At 47.9% G+C, this 22,528-nt stretch overlaps 1 protein-coding gene across 2 annotated transcripts in view; it reads left to right on the forward strand.

Moving 5' to 3' along the window:
• Positions 1-22,528, forward strand: part of OTOG (otogelin) — a 98,786-nt gene that overhangs the window by 19,544 nt on the left and 56,714 nt on the right. For both annotated transcript variants that reach the window (NM_001277269.2, NM_001292063.2), the window contains 9 exons: positions 2,354-2,486; positions 3,411-3,588; positions 5,278-5,402; positions 6,276-6,488; positions 7,918-8,110; positions 9,754-9,828; positions 10,066-10,109; positions 11,571-11,724; positions 19,672-19,779. In NM_001277269.2, the coding sequence (NP_001264198.1) occupies positions 2,354-2,486; positions 3,411-3,588; positions 5,278-5,402; positions 6,276-6,488; positions 7,918-8,110; positions 9,754-9,828; positions 10,066-10,109; positions 11,571-11,724; positions 19,672-19,779 (1,223 nt within the window). The remainder of the gene's footprint in view (positions 1-2,353; positions 2,487-3,410; positions 3,589-5,277; positions 5,403-6,275; positions 6,489-7,917; positions 8,111-9,753; positions 9,829-10,065; positions 10,110-11,570; positions 11,725-19,671; positions 19,780-22,528) is intronic.

The following is a 22,528-nucleotide window of genomic DNA, read 5'->3' on the forward strand; positions in this document are numbered from 1 at the left end:
TACTTATGTCAACACCTTTCCTCCCACTCTCTTCACTGAGATTGTTTCATACATTTGTAATGCAGTTAGATTCTTTTGTTATCATCTACATTTCATCCTGGGATCCCCTCCTACGTGATTTTTAGAATTTGCCTACATCAAGTTTCACTCTTAGTGAAGTTCTGTGGGCTTTTGGAGGTAAATGCAACCTCTAAAATATTTTATGCACATTTAAAAATCTGTACCCAACTGGGTAGGATTGGGTACAACCAAATGTTGTTTTATCTCTGTTTTGCAGAGGAGAGAACTGAGATATGGAGAATTTAAGTGACTTCTTTAAGGTCTCATAGCTTTCAGTTACATTAGGATTTGAACCTGAGACTTTTGACTAAAGGGTGTGGGCTTTATTCCCACACAGGTGACATGTCCAGAGGGGACTAGAGGATGAGTGGGTTGAACAAAGAAGATGATGTTTTAGATACAATGATTTTGAGCTGTTTCAGGGATTTTCTGTACTCCTGGGCAGGAACTCAGAAGGATGGTTGTGGCTGGTTGCACAATGTATTTCTTTAAAGTTTCAAGCCCTGATCATTCTGTCATTTCACTGTGTCACTCTCCTGGTTCACTTTCTCAGGTTGGCTGTTGGACTTAAGATAAAGTCTAAAAATATTTCAAGGCTCTGCCTAAGCTGGCCTTTACCTACCTCTTGAACTTTTTAAAAAATTATTTTTATTTTTTATTTTTGTAGAGACAGGGTCTCTGTATGTTGAGCAGGCTGGTCTTGAACTCCTGGGCTTAAGCGATCCTCCTGCCTCAGCTGCCAAAGGACTGGAGTTACAGGCGTAAGCCACTGTGCCCAGCCTTGAACCTTATCTTAAACCACTTTGCCTGATGGGTTCTGGTCCCTCTAGTCTTCTTTATGCCCTTGAATGCATTAAACGACTTCCTGTAACAGAGCTTTTGTACAAGTTGTTCCTTTTGCCTGGATGTCTCCTTCTTCTTCTTCTCTCTTTGCCCAACTAGCTTCCATGCATCCTTCAGATTTCAACTTATATGTCAACTTTTTGTGTGCCTTGGTTTTCTAATCTGCAAAATGGGGATGTTAGTAACACTTTCTTTTCTTTTCTTTTCTTTTCTTTTTTTTGAGACAGAGTCCCGCTTTGTCACCCAGGCTGGAGTGCAGTGGCGAGATCTCGGCTCACTGCAAGCTCCGCCTCCCGGGTTCACGCCATTCTCCTGCCTCAGCCTCCCGAGTAACTGGGACTACAGGCACCCGCCACCATGCCTGGCTAATTTTTTGTATTTTCAGTGGAGATGGGGTTTCACCGTGTCAGCCAGGATGGTCTCGATCTCCTGACCTCGTGATCCGCCCACCTTGGCCTCCCAGAGTGCTGAGATTACAGGCGTGAGCCACCGCACCCGGCCAGTAACACTTTCTTAATCAGATTGCTATGAGAGTTAGGCAAGTGAATATATATAGAGAGATTTGAACAGCACCTGAACATACTAATTCCACATGAAAGTTAGTTGTTGGTTGTAATATCATAATAATATTGTGGTATTATTATGATAATTTTATGTTATTATCATTCCCTAGGAAGGCCTTTCCTACCTCTGCAGACTAAGTCTGGTTCAGTCATATGCTTTTCTAACACTCTACACCTGCTTACAGCACTGATCACAATTATAATTGAGTAATCAACTTTGTAATTACTTATTTAATGTCTGTGTCCCACACAAGTATGTAATTTCCTTGAGGACAGAAACTTTGTCTTATCACTGAATCCATAAAGTCTGATACAGTATGCCTTGCACATAGTTGGTGCTCAGTTAAGTGTTTAAATGAATGATTGTGTGGATGTTTTCCTGTGGAGGGAGGTATAAAAGGGGCCCAGTGTGTGACCATTTGAGAGATAGAGAACCTGAGGCCCAGAGAATATTACCTCATTTCCTGCCTGCCTGTCAGTGGAGTGCAGGATGTGAACATGAAATGAATTATAAAAACACCCACAAAGGGATGAAATTAAAGTTCTGGGTTGTGATGAGGTGGGGGAGGCCAGTGTTTCTCAGGCTGGACTCTGGGCCATCTGGGTTCCATCTCTGCTCTGTGTCTTTAGATAACCTGAGAGTTGACTACCATTTTTATTAGTGTTATCGCATTCTGCTACTAACCTTCTCCAACCTGAGCCTCTGCCTGCCCATTCCCAGACGAGGGTATTTGGTTGGATGATCCCTGATATCTTTGGGGCTCTGTCTGTCATTCTGAGGAAACTGTCTCTCAAGCTGGGCTGGGGTCTCTGTCCCTAGAGGGCTCTGTTGTATCCAGCAGGAGGGTCAGACCAACACTGCCCCATTGACCTTTCTATCTCTCCAGAACCAAGATGGAGCCTGTGTCCAGTCAGTGTCAGTGATTCTGCACCAGGACCCTCGGAGGCAGGTGACCCTGACCCAGGCAGGGGATGTCCTTCTGTTTGACCAGTACAAGATCATCCCGCCATACACAGATGGTACGGTTTGGGGTGGACAACAGACCTAGTTGGGAACTGAGGGTTTGGACCTCTCTTCCCAGGATCCTCTGGCTAAAAGCACTGCTACCCTGGCAAAAACTCATATTCTAGTACTGGGTAGATCAGGATAGGGGACACTTTGGTTGCAAAAATGTGGACTCCAAAAATGTGTCTTTGTCCCACCTCAACAGGACAGTGGACTTCCTAGTAGCATGATGGCTTCTCCTAACATGAACATATACATGGGTGTTTCCCATCCTGACTCTCATAACTTGTTTATTAACTACTTGTTATACTGTCTGATTCCACAAGGAACTTATGTGTAGCTCATAAGAAACACATGTAACAAAAATGGCAAAACGATTAAGAAATAAAAACCTAGCACCAGAAAGAAAGAAAAACAACAACAGGGGCTCAAGGTTGGGAGGAGTGGGGATGCACTGGGTGTCAACAGGCTGCAGAAATAAATATAAACCATAAAGGGTATAAAATGTTCTACAATAAAATCTAAAATTTAAATTTGTTACACTTGAATCTAAAATTGTATCATGAGCTTCCATAATAAAACTGTGTTGTGGCCACTGTGAAGAGAATGGGTAGTTACAGAATCCTCCTTCTGCTAGAGGAGGAAACGTGTACCAGTTCCTTAGTGGGAGCAAAGCTTTAATTGGCACTTGATGCTAAAAAAAATTTCTTAGCCCAGGCTGCAGTGGGAAGTTATCTCTGGGTCCTGATTTCATCACTGAACAGGGTTTCCTCAAGCCTCCCCATACCAGCTTCATGGCAGGCACGCAGGCAGGCAGGCAGGCAGGGGGCGAAGACTGGGCCGGGCGTGGGAGTCTGAGCGGGCCAGGCAGGTGGTGGTGGTGGGCGGGGTGTGTACTGGCTGCCCTCCCACTCTCTCCTTTTGGATTCTGTGCCCAGATGCCTTTGAGATCCGTAGGCTGTCCTCCGTGTTCCTGCGGGTGAGGACGAACGTGGGCGTGCGGGTGCTCTACGACCGTGAAGGGCTCCGACTGTACCTGCAAGTGGACCAGCGATGGGTGGAGGATACCGTGGGCCTCTGCGGCACCTTCAATGGCAACACGCAGGATGACTTCCTGTACGTAGCCCTGCCACGGAACCCGAAGAAGAGGGGAAATGGGCCCCTTAGGGCTGGGTATCTAGAGGCACTGCCTAAATGTCTCTCCCGTGAGCCTTCACTGTGCCCAGCATGCACCATTAGTTATTGATTTCTCTACATTTAAATTTAATTATGTTTCTTTAAAGCAGCGGTTCACAGTCCTCTATGTGTGGAATCACCTCAGGAGCTTGTTAAAACACTGATTCCTGAGTCCCGCTCCCCAGGATTTAGGGTGGACTCAGGAATCCTATTTTTGATAAGCACCTCTAAGATTCCAGTATGGGAGGTCTATGGGCCACACCTTGAGAAATGCTGTTTTAGAATGAGGTCTTAAAACCGGGGACCTCAGACTGACTGATTTGGCTCATGGTTTTGTTTGTTTTAATTGAGGTGGACACCACCTTTAGGTGAGTGTAAGCCCCTAGTGAGCCAAGAACACTAACATTCCCACTTTCTAACCCACCAGGCCAGTCTAACCCTTGTGCCTTTCCTACCTGGTACTTGAAGGCTCTTGAGTTTGCACGCCGTGAGCCTCCCCATATTCAGGGAAAGGCTGTTTTCTGTGAGCTGACATATTTGGGCACAGACGTAGGTTAGGAACTTAGGAAGGTTGATTTTAAAGGCTGGAGATCCTGGCCAGTCCTTGGAGTTCCACACATTAGGGGATGCAGAAGGAAACAGGGAAGGCATTCTTTAGCCAAAACGGAGAATTCAGATTTGCTGTGAAGAACAAGAACAAAATAAAGCTCAGAGCTTTTCAATGCATATATATTTAAAACTGTGGCATTCTACTATGCTTTGCCTAGTAGGGCAGATGTTAGGGTAGCTGGCCAAATAGTAGGGGGAGACCTTGGTTTAGTGTGTAAGCTGTTTGCCACTTTCCTAAATGTAACCTTTGGGTAGGAATATTGCCCTACATAATATGAGTGTACTCATTGCCCCAGAACAATAGTTGGGCATGGTGGGTGCCAGGCAGAACCTGCCCCCCAGAGAGACCATGACCTCCCTCCGCTCAACACCTACACCTGGGTTTGGTGACTCTTGGAGACTTGTGATGCCTAGGAAACATGCTCATCCCCCTTCCTCCCTTCACTGCCCCTTGTATGACGGTTTCCTACTGAGAGAGCCAAAGGGCGAGCCAAGGAGTTTTCAGGAATTGCCCATGGAGAAAGGGGGAGGAAAAGTCTTACCCCCATGGTGTTTGATACTCTTCATGATGTCCCTGTTTCTTTTTCTGACCTGAAGAGCTGGGGGTGGGGAATGAAGCCATATTCATTCCCCGCCCCAAGTGGACAATCCTAGCCCATTTTGAGCCCTTTTGGGACCTGTTAAATGTTGTGTGTCTGCGTGTGTGTGTGTGTGTGCGTGCGCGCACGCATGCATGTGTACATCCATGATTCTATGTGTTTGAATGTGGCTGTGTGGACCACTTTGGCTATATGCATGTCTGGCATATATTTGTGCTCTGTGTGTGTGTTGAGAGTGTGTGCGTATACATGTTACATATTTGGGTGAGTACACGTGCTCCTCTGAGTGTGTGTATATGGATGTGTAGATTATGACTATGTGTGTGTATATGAGCAAGTAGGTGTTACCTGGATCTATGCTATTTGTGCCCCCTGAGTCCACAGGGGCAAGTGTGTGAATATGGCTGTGACATGGCTGCAGGTCTCCAGTGGGTGTACCTGAGAGCACCCCACAACTTTTTGGCAATTCCTGGAAAACACTTTCTGCTTGCTCCCCGCTGGTCTCTGGCTCCCCTCTGGACCCCTGCGATGTGCACCTGCAAGCCGGTGAGTTGGTGGGGGAAGAGGAGAGGCATGGTTGAGTGGGGTGGGGAGGACTGCTTTGAGAGAGATGAAAAGGGAACTCCGGGCAGGAGAGTGCTGGCCAAATTTGTAGGAGTGATAAGAGAAGGAGGAGCAGCAGGGAGGGGAAAGGAGAGACAGTGAGGGCCAGGCAGGCAGGAAGCCTCATATTCTTCCACTATCAGATATACACACACACCTTTATACTGGCTTCTCCATCTCAGGGCAAAAGCGGAAGTCGGCCCCATGGCCCCACCAGGCCCCACCCTCTCTGCCCATGCCCCCCTTCTCACCTCCTACTCTCACCGCCCTCTGCTCTGCCCCAGCTGCCCTGGCCTCCTTGTTCTTTCTACACAGTCAGGACTGCTCTCCTCTCCAGGCCTTTGCACTTGGCAGTTGCCTGGAATGCTGTTTCTGCAGACACACACATGCCTCAGTTCCTCACTTCTTTCAGATTTGTGCTCAAACCTCATTCCCTCACTGAGGCCTTCCTGACTGCCTGAATTCAAATTGCAGTTGCCCCTCCTGCCTCACCTCATACACCCATGCTGCTTCTTAGCTTTCTCTCGCTTCTTACCTTCTTCACCTTTGAAGTTTCTATATGAATTTTTTAGTGACTGTCTCCTTTGACCAGAATGTAAGCTCCAGGGATTTTTGTCAAGCCACGTATTCACACCCAGATGTACTAAACCACACCCATACCTTCCCAGCCAGCTGTACACTGAAGTAGCTGCCTACATCCGTACAGCGTGTGCACACACACACACCCCTGAGCCATGGGGAGGGAGAGAGGCTGATCCTGGGACACCAGGTAGACCGACTCCCCTGACTGCCTGGCTCCTGTTCTTCCTTCCCCAGCCTCCTACTCAGTGCAGGCCTGCAGCGTGCTCACGGGGGAGATGTTTGCGCCCTGCTCTGCGTTCCTGAGCCCCGTGCCCTACTTTGAGCAGTGCCGCAGGGATGCCTGCCGCTGCGGGCAGCCCTGCCTGTGCGCCACACTGGCCCACTACGCCCACCTGTGCCGGCGCCATGGGCTCCCCGTTGATTTCCGCGCCCGCCTGCCAGCCTGTGGTGAGTGCCCCACCCATGTGAGGCTGAGCTGGAGGAGCCAGAGCTCCAGACCTGAGTGTCCCCTGCCCCTGAAAGTCTCCACTGGGATGCCCTCCAGTCTCCTCCAGCCTGACTGCACCCAGAGCCTGCTTCTCCTCCTGCACCCTCCATCTCTGCCAATGGCCCCCATCCCCTCCATCACTCAGGCATAACACCTGGGACCTGTGACTCAGGACTGCTTCTGTCACGCTTACTTCCAGTCCATCTCAAGTCCTGTCAGTCCTGTTAATCCCAAATTCACCCACTTCTTACCACCTCCGCCACCCTACTCAGAGCCACCTTGCGTTGCACCTTTCAAAAGACCACTGGCTGTTGCCCTGGGGTTTGAGTACACACACAACTTCAATATCATGAGCCAGCCCCTACCCGTCCCTACCCTGACCCTGGGCTATGCTCCTTCCCATGTCTTCATCACCTCTGTGTCCCCAGCTCTGGCACAAGGCCTGACTCTCAGTAAGCTTTTAGCAAATGTTTGTTGAATAAATGAAAAAGGCACTGTACTGGGAGTCAGGAGGCCTGAGTTCTATTCCAGCCCTGCAGGTGACTTGCTGTGTGTCCCTAGGCAGGGCCCTGATTCTCTCTGAGCTAGTTTCCCCAAAAGGGATTGGACAGGCCCACTGGTTCTTAACCCTGGCTGCATATTAGAGTTACCATAGGAGCTTTCAAAAGATTCACACATCTGGGCCACATCGAGTATCAACGAAGGCAACATATCTGGCAGTGGGGCCCAGGCATCAGCATTTTCAGAAGCTCCCCAGGTGGCTTTGATGTGCAGCCTGGGTTGAGAACAGCTGAACTGGATGGTCTCAGTGGATCTACTGGATCCCACAGAGTGTAGGAGACTCTGGGGGGAGTGGGATGCTGGCCACACAAGGAGAGGGCAGTCTTGAGTCTTGGGACAAAGGGAGCAAAACAGGCTGCTAGAGGGAGCACAGTTGATATCCACAACCTGTGTGTGACACAGCCAGGGGAGTGAGGGGGTAGGAGTGTGTGTGTGTGTGTGTCCACACACTTGGGCTCATGCATGTGTCTATGTGTGAGTTACGGGGTGGGTGCAGGGCCTTAGCAGGTGGTGATCTCTACCCCTTCCCCAATGTCACTGCCTCAGAGGAATGCCTTTTGGAGGAAAGGACCTGCCAGTGGTTTTCCAGGCTGAACTTGGTAGAAGGACCCACCTGCTGCTTTGCCGTTCCAGTGTATTGGTAGGCAGTGGGACTCTGGAGTCAGACCTGGGTTCAAATCCTGCCTCTGACCTTGACCTGCTGTGTGACCTCAGACAAATGTCTGAACTTCTCTGGATCTCCATTCTCCTCATCAGAATGACAGCCCCACTCCACATAACTGTGGGGATGAGGGAGACAAAGCATGCACCACTCCCCCCTCACTGCAGCACTGTCCTGTGAGGCCTCCAAGGAGTATAGCCCCTGCGTGGCCCCGTGTGGACGTACCTGCCAGGACCTGGCCAGCCCTGAGGCCTGTGGGGTTGATGGTGGCGATGACCTGAGCAGAGACGAGTGTGTGGAGGGCTGTGCCTGCCCACCGGACACCTATCTGGACACCCAGGCTGACCTCTGTGTCCCCCGGTGAGTGGGTCAGCTTGATCTCTGAGTTGGGTGGGAAGGTGAGGCCAGGGGTCTCCAGGGCATCTGAGACTGGGGAACCTGGCTGGGCCTCTTGTGTCCCTCCTTCCCCTCACAGTTGCAGGCCAGACCTTGGTGGGTAAGGTGGGTGGGCTCCCTCCTTGGGGCCTCCCTCCCAGATCTCTCCTCAGCCTTGGCCTTTGGGCCATTATAGCAGCTTCCTCACAAGACACAACAACCCCACAGAGCCCAGGGGCCCTCTCTCTCCTCATTCCCCTCTCCTTCCACATAATTTATTGACTTTCTGGTATGTTCCAGACATTTCTAGGGCTTGGGAATTCAGCAATGAACAAAGCAGAGTTTAGCCCTCAGGGAGCTCACATTCTAGGGTTGCAAGACAGACACATAAATGAACAGACACTTAATGGACAGGTGGCAACAAGAGCTGTTGAGCCAAGTAAGGCAGAGTGAGAGCAGGGAGTCCCATTCCTGGTGTGTTACTTGAGGTGGGCCTGGAAGTAAAGCCTTTCTGCGGAGGTGAGGTCTGAGCAGAGACCTGAGGGAGTGAGGAAGGGGGCTCCAGGAAGAGGGGGTGGCTCAAGGCCCAGCTTGTTCTCAGTGTAGCTGGAGGGCAGAGCAGCAGGAGGATAGTGGGAGGCAGCGACCCCACGTGATCTTGGGGCGACTGGCAAGGTCCTTGGTCCCTTCCAGGCCTCTGTTTCTCCGTCTGTAAAATGATACACATTTGATTGGTGGTCTTCAAATGGTGGCAGGGCTGGAGAGAGGCCCCTTTAGGGTAAATAGGAATCACTCATAGGCCTTCCCAAACTACAGAATCCTCCCTTGAGATCCAGATGTGTGCCTGGAGGCTCTCACCCCTTGATGTTGAGTGTTGCCAACGAAAGGGGTCTGTGTGGCTTATATATAGAGAGGGAGGTGGTTGTTAAGCAGCACTGGAGCTGGAAGAGTTTCGGCGTCCGGTCCATAACTCACTGCGCTGCTCCAAGACCTGCACGTGCCTATAATCGGCAGGTTCTGTGGGAGCTGTGTGAGGAGGAAACATAGCCTTTGCCCTTAGATGACCTGCACAAAAGAAGAAAGACAGCATAAGAATCCCTACCTTACAGAACCCCTGCGAAGAATCAATGAGATTATGTATGCAGAGGGCCTGGCTGGGTGTCCCTGGCCAGAGGTCAATGTACTTAACAACCAGTGCAGCACAGGCACTGAGCAATTGGAATAGATGCTGGGCGTGAGTGACCAGGACACCTGTGTCAGGATGCAGCACCAGCTGAATATCTGCCCTGTTCCTGACATGGCATGGGCTCAGGAGCTGTGCTCCTGTTCTTACTGCCCCTCCCTTCCCCGGTCCAAATGAGGCTGGCTGCAGGAGTGTGTGGAGACCAGTGACTCCTTGTCTAAGCTTGGTGCATGGCCCTGAATCTGGGACCCAGCCGTGACCTCTATCCCTGGTGTCAGGCTGGCTTTTCTGCTCACTGGAGATGTGTCACATGTCACTGTAGATACCATTACTTTTCCCTGTGTCCTTATGCACCTGGTTGGCTGAGGGTGGGGTCCCTGTCCTTGGCAGTCTCTGCCCTAGCTCCTGAGCCTGCTCACCTTTCTTTGCTCCCATTTTTTTATAGGAACCAGTGCTCCTGCCACTTCCAGGGAGTGGACTATCCCCCCGGAGACAGTGACATCCCATCCCTGGGCCACTGGTGAGCTCCGTAGGTAGCAGCCTTCTTGTCCTCTCTTTAAAGGGAGGCTGCTGACTGAAGACAGTGCAGCTGATGGAACTTTCTGTGAAGGGACACCCAGCCCTGCTCTGTGCAGGGAGGGGGAAGTGAGTGAGGGTGTCTTTCTGAACTCTGCAGTGACCCGAGTGCAGCAACATGGGGTGTCTGGGTCCTGCAGTGACTGGGTCGGCTAACCCCAGGGCCCGTCTCTCTCTGCAGCCACTGCAAAGATGGAGTCATGAGCTGTGATAGCAGAGCCCCAGGTAAGGGTGGGTGGAGGGGTGGAGCCCTTCTGGGGGCTCCACATGGTAAAGGAGAGTGGGGAGTGGAGCACTGATCAGGCTGTGGCAAGCCCACTCCAGGTTTTGCCCTACATTGGGCCTTCCGTATTCCTTGCCCTCTTGGCAAAGACTCCAGCTTGGAGGGTGGCACCTGAAGCCCTGTCCCAGCCTCAGCCCCACCCTAGTGGCTGTCTCTGCTGCCTGCAGAGGAGAGGCTGAGACTTTGTCTTCCTTCAGGGCAATGATCTGGGGCAACCACGTTGGGTGTCTGGGCAGTTTCCTGACTTCCTTTGGGTCCTGATGTTTTCTGTCTGAGCTGTCATGTATCTACTGAGGCGGACTCTGCCCAGGACAATGCTAGGTGTGGGGTCACAGAGGTAGGCAGGACAGCCTGGGCTTTTGAGACCCTCCTAGGCAACAGAGATAGGGATGGGGTGGAACAGTGGTCGTGGGATGGGGGTCAACCTTTGAGAGGCTGTGAGGTGGAGTAGGGCCTGGGGGCTGGAGCATTCAGGGAGGGCTTCCTGGGGTGGAGGAAGGGATTGGAGAATAATCATACAGTAGGTGGTTAGGAGCAGGGCCTGCAGAATCATCCAGCCTGGGTTCAAATCTTCCCTGGCACTCACTAGCTGTGCAGCCCTGGGCAACCCACTTTACCTCTCTGGGCCTTCATTTCCTCTTTGGCATATAACCTAGTTTCCTGCATCCTCCCCATGTTTTGTGTATAATCCTGGAAGCGCTTTTCCTTTGGTCACTTCTGGCTTTGGATTTCTGGCTCTTTGGGACTTTTATCTCACCTCCTGTGCCTATGCCTTTCTCTCTGGTTCATCCCAGCCTGGGCATGGAACTCAGCTCCTTTTTATTAATTTTCCTAAAAAAGATCACTCACGCAGTGTGAATGTGCGGGGCAGACCTTATGGAAGGCTGAGGGAGAGGGGGTGCATTCATGTCACAGAAATAGTGGTAACAGGACCGTGACTCTCCTTGTCATTCAGAGTCCTCTGGCCCCCTGCCACACTGATTGGTCATCCTCTTTCTAGCCCTGCTCCTGGTCCCTCTGGGGCACTTCTCACTTTATGGTGACTTTGGGGAGGAGGAGAAGTGGCTTCACTCCATTATTTGGGAAAATGGGGGACAATAATACTTCCTAGAGTTGTTGCAGGATTCAATATGATGATGCAGGGGAAGCACCTGGAGTAGTCTGGTATGGAGGACGTGCAGAGATGGGTCCTGGTGGCCGCAGTCTTATTGTGTGACAGACAGCACACATCTACCCCTCCCTCTGTGAGGCGTATCTGGGAAACCAAGCAATGCCCAGGAGCGACCAGGGAGGGAGGAGACTTCCGAGCCCGTCTCTCCCTCCATCCTCCAGCTGCTGCCCCTGTAGCCCAGGAGCCCATACTGAGGCCCCAGGGCCTCCGCTCCCATCTTCTTCTCTTCCAGCTGCTGCCTGCCCAGCAGGCCAGGTCTTCGTGAACTGCAGCGACCTGCACACGGACCTGGAGCTGAGCAGGGAGAGGACGTGTGAGCAGCAACTGCTGAACCTGAGCGTGTCAGCCCGTGGCCCCTGCCTCTCGGGCTGCGCCTGTCCCCAGGGGTAAGTACCCATGGTGTCGTGGGCCCGTGATCCTGAAGGCTGGCAGAACCAAGGGCCACAGGGTGGAGTGGGGGCAGGGAAAACATCACATGGCCTTGTAGGAAGGCACTGGCCCAGGCTGGCCAGCCACAGCTGTAATGGCCAGAGAGGAGTCTGGGAAAGAGGAGAGGCTGGGGATCCAGCCTGGAGTGTGGGCTGGAGGAGGGAGAGCCCTGGCCGCTCATCTGTGAAATGGAACCATCATCAGGCCTACCACCTTAACAGGCTACTGTGAGGAATCAGTGAGCTCACTCAGTGGAAGCACTGAGTGGGGTGTCTGGCACGCTGGGCACTGCAGTGCGTTGGAGGCCACTGGAGAGAAAACTCAAGTTCAGCTCTCAACCTCTTCCTCTGCACTGTTCTGACCAGAGCCCTCAGGAGGAGGGCTAGTGCCCCTAAAATATTAAAAAAAGAAGACCCCACCCAGAGAAAACTGTCTCATTCCCAGGTCCCCAGAACCCTGCCATTAAAGCCGTGAGAGCTGCGTGAGTCAGGCTCTGTGGGCATGCCTTGTGTGGGCTCTGTACACCGACGTGGCCCAGGGCCTGACACCCAGCTCTGCCCATTCTCATTCCCAGGTCTGGGCTGAGAAGACAGCTGGCACCTTATCCCATGGCTTGGCAACAGCCGGCTGTGCCCTTCAGCTTATGCAGAGATTAGTGGTCACCCGGGAGTCGTGGCCCAGGCGTGAAAGCCTAGGGAAATGACATGGGGGTCAGGGCTTCTAGGGTAGGAAGGGGAGGGGACAGTCAGTTGGAGCTTTACTGCTTCTAAGACACTTTCATGTTATTACCTCCTTCAGTCTCAGAGCATCCATGGCAGAGAGGAGGGGAGGACCATGATTCCCATTTTGCAGGTGAAGAAACTGAGGCCAGGGGAAGGGTGGAGGGAAGTGGTGCCCAAAGAGCCAGGACTCAAACCCAAGTCTCCTTACTCCAAGCCCAGCCGCTGGCCCAGAGCACATGAGGTCCGTGATGGTCACCTATATAGATATCATAATGTGGGTTGTAAGCCTGCCCCTTCCAGGCAAGTGTCTGAAAGAGAACCTGCAAGCAACCCTAGGCCTGACCACCTGCTGCCACTTGGGCCCCGGAGTGGCATTTGAAGAGTATCTTTGTCACTGAAGGCCGCTTGTGACACCATCCTGGGTGCACAGCCTGCCTCTCAGCCTGAGGTCAGGAAAAGCCAGGGTGTCTGGGGTCAGGAACCGAGGGTCACTCACTGCCAAGAGTAGTAGCAAGGCCACAGAGACACAGTGGAAGGGGCGCTGGACTGGAGACCGGGAGACCGGGCTCTGGGCTCAGTTTGGCCAATGACCCATTGCGTGCTGTATCAAAGGCCCTCTAAGGAGCTTACACACATGCCTCAGGGGCTTGTCAAAGTGAAATTGGTACAGTCTCAATTTGTAAGGGAAGGGCAGGCATTTCCTACCATCCTGGAACATCCTCTTGCTGGGATAGGGCTCCCAAAGATGCCCAACCATCCTTAACAACCCCTGCCTAGGACCCTTGGGACCCATGATCACCTCTGTGCATGAGAGTTCCGACTGTCTGGCCACCATGCCCTTCTCAATGATGTATCTAAGAATCTCCAAAGAACGGTCTGTGGCTGTCTGTGTGCCTCCATATTTCTTTGAATCTGGGGTCTGGCCAAGGGCCCTGGGGCCACTAGGCAGTGAGGCACAATGAGCACAGACTCAGGAGTCAAGCTTGAACCCTGGTTCTTCCACTTCCTAACTGAGTTAATTAATTACCCTGAACCTCAGCTCCTTCATTTGTAAAATGGCACAGAGTAAACACTCTATGTGAGCAGATAGCATTGTTTCTTCTCATCTGGATCCCATGCATTTGCAAATAACCTCCCTGAGGGGTCCCTGGAGTGAGAAGGTCCCCTACAAGGTAAAGAGAGGGTACTTTGCAAATTGAAGGCACCTTGAGGACCGAGGCCAAAGCCTTGAGTCCTTGCATGCTCTTCCCCATGATGGGCACACAGCAGGTGCTCAGAGATGCAGACAGGTCTGCTAAGAGCAAGGAGGGAGTAATGGATGGTGGGCAACAGAGAAGACCCCTCAAGAAGTGGCTGGAGACAAGGCTTGGGGCTGAAGAAGGAAGGCAGTGAGCCAGCCCTTCACTGGTGTCTGATGCAATTATGGGGGAGAGAGGGGCAAGAAACCAATATTTATTGTGTTTCTACTAGGTGATAGGCAGTGTGCCCAGGCCTGTAAGATTCTCATAATGACCTTGGGAGGAAGGTGTCATTATTCCTGTTTTAAGCACAAAAACAGAGGCTTAGAAGGGTTAAGTGGCTTCAGGTAAAACGTAGTGAATTAAGCATGTGCTTTTTTTTCTTTCCTGCTTCCTCCCACAACCACAGTGAAATGATAATGGGGTAAAAAGGTATAAATCCCCAGGGACAAAGAGAGAAGAGTGGAAGATCAGTAGTTTTTGAAGAAGGAACGTGGGTGGATGTGTAGAAACTGGCCTTGCAGAGGGGAAGGCCAAGGAGAAACAAATAGTACATGCATTTTGGAAAATAGTTTGGCAGTTTCTTATATAAACATGAATCTACCTGAGCACCCAGCAGTTCACCCTGAAGTGTTCATCCAAGAGGAATAAATAGAAGGGGGCGTCGGGGGAGGGAGACAGGAGGTTGGGTTGCAAGTCTGTGCAAGGAGGAGTTCAGCCTCCAGATCCCCTATTGCTCCTGCTGGGGTCACACCACTGCTCCAGCCCCATCCAGCAGGAGAAAGGAGAGTTTCAAGAGAAACCAAATCAGAGACTTTGGCCTTGTAGGCACCAGGAGGGGTGAGATGCATCGTGGAAACAGGGAGATTCAGTGAAAAGCAAGTGGAATCCCAGCAAATGGAGACATTCGCCTCCCAGCTCAGAGATGACAGAGATTTCTTCCCTTGAAAATTGGCTGGGCCAATAGAAAAATACAACAGAAACTGACATCTTGGGAGTTTCTCAACAAAATGGTTGGTCCTCCTTAAATAGGGAGCCTCCAGTCAGCTTTTGATGCCTCACTCTTTTTTCTTTTTTTCCTTTTAGGAAGTGTTGCGTAATTTATATACAGTAAATTACATGGATCCTAAGTATACCGTGTGTTAGGCTTTGACAAATTGATACCTGCTTGTAACCCACACTCCTGTGAAGATATAGAACATTTCTGTCACTCAGAAAATTCCCTAATGTTGGCGCCCTATATATTCCCTAATGTGAATATATAATGTTTATCTATTCTAGATACAAGTCTTCTGTCAGTCCTTTCCAGCCGGTTCCGCCCCCACCAGCATTGCTGTGCTTCACACCAGCATAGATAGGTTCTGCCTGTTCTAGAACTTCATGTAAATAGAATCATACACTATATACCCTTTTGGGCCTGGCTTCTCTTCCTTAACTCTTGAGGTTGACCTACCTTGTTGCATCTATCAGTAGTGTGTTCCTTTTTCTATCCCGGTAGTATTCCATTGTATGAATATACAATTATTTATCTGCAAAGGTGTTATATATAATAAAATGTACCTACTTTTAGTGTATGGTTTGATGAATTTTGACATCTATGTATATATCATCATAATTAAGATATATAACATTTCTATCACCAACAAAGTTTCCCTCATACTCCGTTGTAGTCAATCCTACCCCTGTGAGTGCTAGGCAAACACTGGCCGGCTTTTTGTCACTATATAGTAGTTATTCCTGTTCTAGAACTTTACATAAAAAGATCCATATATATACAAACACACACACATACACACTCACAAACCATTTTGATCTGGATTCTTTAGCTCAGCAATAAAGCTTTCAAGATTCAAAAAAGAAAACAGTTATTTATCTGCTCAAGCATTGATGGACATTTGGGTTGTTTTCAGTTTGGGACTATTTTGACTAAGGTTGCTATTTATTTCCCTTGGATGAACATTTCAGGGTGGAATTGCTGGGTCCTAGGGTAGATTCATATTTATATAAGAAATTGTCAAGCTGTTTTCCAAAGTGATTGGACAATTTTACACGTCCAGTATATGAGAATCTGACTGTTCCACATCCTCACTAACACTTGGTGTTTTCAGTCTTTTCCATTTTTGTTATTTCAGCAAGTACATGGTCCTATCTCATTATGGCTTTGATTTGTATTTCCCTAATGACTGTGAGTAATTTTTCATATACTTATTGGCCATTCGTGTATCTTTCTTTGTGAAGTGTCTGTTCTGGTCTTTTGCCCATTTTTAAATTTGGTCTTTTTTTATTTGATTGAGTTGTAAAAATTTTTTATGTATTTTAGATACAAGTCCTTTGTCAGGCATATGTATTGCAAATATTTTCTCCCAATGTGTGTTTACCTATTTATTTACTTAACATGCCTTGAAGTATCTAAAAACTTCTGATGAGAAGTTTTTAATTTTGATAATGTCTAATTTTTTTCTTTTAAAAATCTCCTTCATTTCTGATGAGGTCTAATTTATCATTTTTTTCTTTATAGTTAGTCCTCAAGGTTGCAAAGATATTCTCCTATGTTTTTTTCTAGGAGCTTTACAATTAAATGTAATGGATTAAATAATTAATTTATTATTATTATTTTTTTTTACAGACAAGGTCTTGCTCTGCTGCTCAGGCAGGAGTGCAGTGGTGCCATCACGGCTCACAGCAGCCTTGAACTCCTTAGCTCAAGCGATTCTCCCGCCTCAGCCTCCTGAGTAGCTAAGACTACAGGTGTGCACCACTATACCTGGCAAATTTTTTAAATTTTTTGTAGAGATGGGGGCTTTGCTATGTTGCCCAGGCTGATCTTGAACTCCTGGCCTCAAGAAATCCTCCCAAAATGCTAGGATTACAGGTGGGAGCCACTGCAACTGGCCAGCTTTACAATTTTAGCTTTTACATTTAAGCCTATGACCTATTTAAAATTATTATATTTTACACATGTTTCAAAATGGAGTCAAGGTATGTTTTATTTTATTTTATTTTTGATGGACATCCAGTGATTGTAGCCCTATTTTTTAAAAAACACTTTCTTCTCCCCATGTAATTGCTTTGGCATTTTTGTGAAAAATTAATTGACTGTATACACGTGGGTATATTTCAGGACTCTTTTCTGTTCCATTGATCTATTTGTCTGTCTTCATGCCAATATCCACTCTCTTGATTTATGGAGCTTTATAGTAAGCCTTGAAATCAGGAAGTGAGAGTTCTTCAACTTTTATCTTTTCTTTCAAAAAGTTGTTCTAGGTCTTTGCATTTCCGAGTAAATTTAGGATCAGCTTATCAATTTCTACCAAAAAAAAAGCCCCTGAGATTTTGAATGAAACTGTGTTGAATTTATAGATCAATTTGGGGAGAATTGGCATCTTAACACCAGTAAGTCCTCCAAACCACAAATATGGTATTATTTTCTTATTTATTGGTCTTCATTAATTTCTCTTAGCAATATTTCATAGTTTTCATGTGAAGGTTTACACATTTTTCATTGAATTTTTCATAGGTATTTGCTGTTTTTGTTGATGTTATAAACGGTATTATTTTATTAATTTTCCATTTTTTAATTGCCACAATATAGAAATACAGTCGATTTTCACATACTGACCTTGTATTCTGCAATCTTGCTAAATTCATTTATGAGTTCTAGTGGCTTTTCTTTGGGTAGATTCTTTAGAATTTCAGTAAGTGATCATGTCATCTGTGAATAAAGATAGTTTTACTTCTTTATTTTAAATTTTTACATCTCCCATGTTTCTTGCCTTATTGTGCTGTATTGGACTTACAGTATACTTTTGAATAGAAGTGATGGAAGTAAAAATCATTGCCTTCGTCTTGTTTTGGATAAAGCAGTCAATCTTCTACCATTAATTCTAACATTTGCTGTAGTTTTTTTTGCAAATGATCTTTATCAGATTGGGGAAGTTTCTTTTTATTTCTATTATGCTGCAAATTTTTTTATAATAAATGGGTATTGAATTGTCATTTGATTTTTTTTTTTTTGAAACAGAGTCTCAATCTGTCGCCCAGGCTGGAGTGCAGTGCCTCAATCTTGACTCACTGCAACCTCCACCTCCCAGGTCTAACTGACTTTTATGCCTAAATCTCCAGAGTAGCTGGGATTACAGGCATGGGCCATCACGTCTGGCTAATTTTCATATTTTTAGTAGAGAAGGGGGTTTGCCATGTTGGCCAGGATGGTCTTGAACTCATGGCCTCAGGTGATTCTCCCACCTTGGCCTTCCAAAGTGCTGGGATTATAAACATGAGCCACCGCACCAAGCCTGTCAATTGATTTTATTTATTGGAGTATCATATGATATTTTCCCTTTATTTTATAAATGTTGCAAATTACATTGGTTGATTTTTAAAATCTTAAACCAGTCTTACATTCCTGGGATAAACCCCAGTTGTGACTGACGTATTATTTAATATTCTGTGGTCTGTGGTTTTCCATACTTGCAACGTTTTTGTCTGGTTTTGGTATCAGATTAATGCTGGTCTTATAAAATGAGTTGGGAAGTATGATTTCCTTTTCAATTTTTGGAAGAGTTTGTTTAAAACTTGTATTATTTCTTCCTTAAGTGCCTGGTAGAATTTACCAATCTTGGAAGAATTTTAACTTCAAATTTAATTTCTTTAAAGATATTGGGCTAATTCAGTTTACCTATTCCTTCTTGGCTAAATATTTATAGTTTGTGTCTTTTAAGAAATTTGTCCATTCCATCTAAGTTGTCAAATTTATTCACTTAACATCGTACATCATATTTCCTTATTTTCCTTTTACTATCAGTAGAGTCTGTAGCAATATCTCCTCTTTGTTCCAGATATTGGTAATTTGAGTATTCCTGTCCCCCTTTTTATCATTCAGTTTAGACAGGGGTTTGTCAATTTTATTGGTCTTTTCAAAGAACCAGCATCTGGTTTCACTGATTTTTCTCTATTGTTCTGTTTTTTATTTCACTAATTTCTCCTCTTATATTCATTTCTTTCCTACTACTTACTTTGGATTTAGTTTGCTCTTGTATTTCTAATTTAGAACTTTGACTTTAATCCCTTCTATTTCACATCCTGACCTGGATATGCTGGCCACTTCAGAAGCCCTCAACCCCATTTTCTGTCTGCTCCCCTCAGTGATGCATCGTGCCATGCTTGGGTTCCATCATCCTGTACTATAGTCCAGAAAGTGCTTCCAGGCAGAAAATCTGGATACAGGAGCAACTAACAAGGGACTCCTTTGAGTATAATGCCTGTAGCACCCTTTCTTTTCACCTCTTTAACCCATGTGCTTGTATTCTTTTGAAAAATAAAATAGGAAGGTTAAGTAACTTGTTTCAGGTAGATCCTGGATTTGAACAAAAAATTATTTATTGCCAAAGTTTGTATTCTTAGCCCTGCCCCAGGCTGTATCCTGTTGATGCCTGATCTAGCGTGATGCTATGGCCTGAGATCTTTAATAAGTGCCCTGAGACATCCTTGGCTCCGGCCTGGGAGTGCTCAGATTTCATGGAAACCAGACTAGAAGACAGCAGCACTGCTGCTTTGGGGCCTGTGGTCTGAGAGCTCCATGAACAACCTGGGTAGGAGGGTCATCGCCCATATCCATGACCTGTTCATTAGTATACAACTAGTGCCTGAGGAGCAACTGGCATCCACCTGGTCAGTAGGGCTGTGGCTGGTAGAGATAAGCCTTGCTTCTTGATGGATGACAGAGACTCAGGCTGGGCCTAGTCTGTTACTGGTTTTTCCAGTTACCAAGGTCCCTCTGAACCTCACTGAGCAGCAGCAGGATGGGGAGTGAATACACAGTCAGTCTCTTCTAGGGTAAATGCTGGGAGCCACCTCCGAGCATCCAGATTGAGGCAGGGTCCTCCACAGATGGCAGCTATGGGAAGAGTGCTCTCCTGACCGCCTGCTTGCTGTGTCTCTACAGTCTGCTCAGACACGGGGATGCATGTTTCCTGCCAGAGGAGTGCCCCTGCACTTGGAAGGGGAAGGAGTATTTCCCTGGGGACCAGGTGATGTCTCCTTGCCATACCTGGTAAGTGAGGGTCCCAAGCAGGCTTTGCTTTTTTGCTGGGAGGGGGCATGGATATGGGTGCATAATCAAGAGTATAGTCTAGCATTCCCATTTCATTATGTTTGTATTCATGTTGTGCGTTTGTGTGTTGTGTGTGGTATAGGGGTTTGTGTACACATAGGAGTATATGCATACAAAGGAATATTTTTGTTTTTACATGAGTATGTTTGTTCAGTCATGTATATGAATGTGTATACATGCATATTTGTAACCATGGCAATTTGTTTGCATATTTATATGAACATATGAGTGTGAGTGCAAATCCAAAATGCACATGTGCATATGTGAACATGCATGTACATGGATGTATATAAAAAGGCAGGCATTCACAAATCTCAATATGTCAGTGAATATGTACAATTAGAAATTTGTTTATGTAGACAGGTGTGTTTATATATATTTTTGTGCATATGGATCCATTTAAAATGTGTGCACATGTATGTGCAAAGTGTGTGGATGTATGTTTTTAATGGCTATACATATTTGTATTCACATGTGAGTGTAAATGTCTGTGTAAATGTGCATTGTGTTTGCCTGTGAATAGGTACATTCTTGTGTATGAAAGTACGTGTGAGGGTATTTGTTTAGTAATGTAAGTGTGCATATGTGGGAGTGTGTGCCCCTGGATTGGATTCTGTGGAAACAGACTCGGGGTTAGTTCTGCAGGGCCTGTTCTGGGCCACACAGAGGTGGGTAGGCAGTGGGTAGACTCAGCTTTCTGATAGAGAGAATGCTGGGGGACGGGGTGAGGAACGATGAATGTGCCCTGATGCTGGAGAGCAAACCCAGTCACTGTTCCAATTTGGAGAACCAGCTAGGGGTGGCCTGAGGTGAGCAGGAAGCCCCTGGCACTGGAACTTCAGGGCCCAGCAGAGAAGCTCAGAGAGGTTCTATCTCAGAGACCCATCTGGCTAGCTGGAGCATGGCCCCCAGTCCCTGTCCCATGCTGGGACTGAAACCACCCTGTTTCTCTGGCCTAGAGGAAGGCCATAGTGTTTCTTTCTGTGTTAGAAGCAGGGTCACGGTCAAGCCCATCTGCTCCAAGGCCGGTTTCTCCAGATACATCAGAGTGTACTTGTAGGGTCAGAGCCCTGGCTGTCTGACCCCAGAAGTCCCTGGGTATAATGTTAAGACACAGACCTCTGCACAGGCTGTGTGCTCATTTTTTTTCTTGAGATTTTGTGACTGTGGTGAGCCAGAGCTCACCAGGGATGCCAGGCACATGAGGTGGGAGACTGGGGATGGCTGGCCTGGATTTGCCCAGGGGTGCTCAGGCCCTGAGATGGATTCACTTCCATCACTTCCCTGGACTCCAGCCCCTGTAGCAGCACCCTCACCCTCAGGCAGGGGATAGCTGAGTTACATTGAATCCTCTCCTGTGAGTGCATTGTGCTCAGAAATCAGATCCAAGGCAGAGGTGGTAAGGAGTCTGGAGCCAAGGCCGAAGAGCTGGGATTATTTAGGATTTGGAACCCTGACATGAGGAGGCATCTGCCTTCATAGGAGAGGCTGACTGGCCATAGGGTGGATGTCCTCTCTTCCATAGAAAACTAGGAGATAGATGGGCAAGTTTTTACTTTTTAACTCAGTTGTAAAAATTCTACCTCCTAATACAGGGACAAACCTTAACATTTGCCCTCGAAGGACCTGCCACTGTGGCCCAGATTCCAGCTGCTCTCCCGTGGGGAGGCAGGTGCTGGAGATGTGTTGCGCTGGTGTGACTCGAGCATTTGCTGGGATCTCTTTACCAGGATGGAGCCTGGCTACCCATCCCTTCCCAGCTCTGTGTTCCGTGTCACCATGGTCGGCAGCATGGTCGGCAGCATGGTCAGGCACAGTGGGAGTATTTCCAGCAGTTATGCATTTATGGCTGAGTTGTAGGTCATGTAGGTGGGTGAATGACAGGATGGATACATAGGCTTAGGAAGCCACGTGGAGTCAGTGCATGACTGAGCCTGTCCCTCATTGTTGCTGTCAGACACAGAGCCCTGGGTCATGCCCCTTTACTTCTAAAGATTTTGGCACTGAGCTCTGTGACTCTTGCCAACCCTACTCCTTCCCTAATTCTTGGAGATTTTAGTATCTGTTTAGAGGTGCTTCTAGTATCTCCCGACATCTCAGATTCTTCATCCTCTCTCTTCCAAAGATCTTTCTCCACCCTAGTGGAGTGAGGAGTCATCTTGTAGATCTTGCCGTTCCCAACAACTCACCCAGCCCATATCCCAATGCGTCTCACCTCACCTTCTGTCTTTCTACTCCACTCCCTCTCATACCCTGACTCCCTCAATCCTGCAACCCCACAGGGATTTCTCATCCATGATCCCTACCACCTCTCTGCTGCCTCTCACCCCCTCGATGTCTCCCCTTCCCTTTTACCTCAACCTGTGGTCCAGAACCATAATCACTTCCTTGAGTTTAGCCCCACTTCTGTTCCTCCTCCTGCTTTGCCCTACTTGTTTGGCAAAACCACAACCCTGGTGACATCCACACCTTTACTTCCTTTGTACCTGCACCCATGCAGCTGAATGTGACTGGAGGGATGTGCAAAACCCGGCTTCCAGCTCTCGTTTTAAATTCATGGGCTCAGAAGGGTCGAAAAGGCCCTTAGAGCTGATGGGCTCTCGGATTGTATTTCCCGGGTCTCCTTTGCTCTTTCATCCCACTAGATAACTATTCCACTCTTTCTCCTCTCTCCTCAAAGCCCTGACAC

The sequence above is a fragment of the Homo sapiens genome, chromosome 11 (genome assembly GCF_000001405.40).
Source record: "Homo sapiens chromosome 11, GRCh38.p14 Primary Assembly".
Classification (NCBI taxonomy): Eukaryota; Metazoa; Chordata; class Mammalia; order Primates; family Hominidae; genus Homo; species Homo sapiens.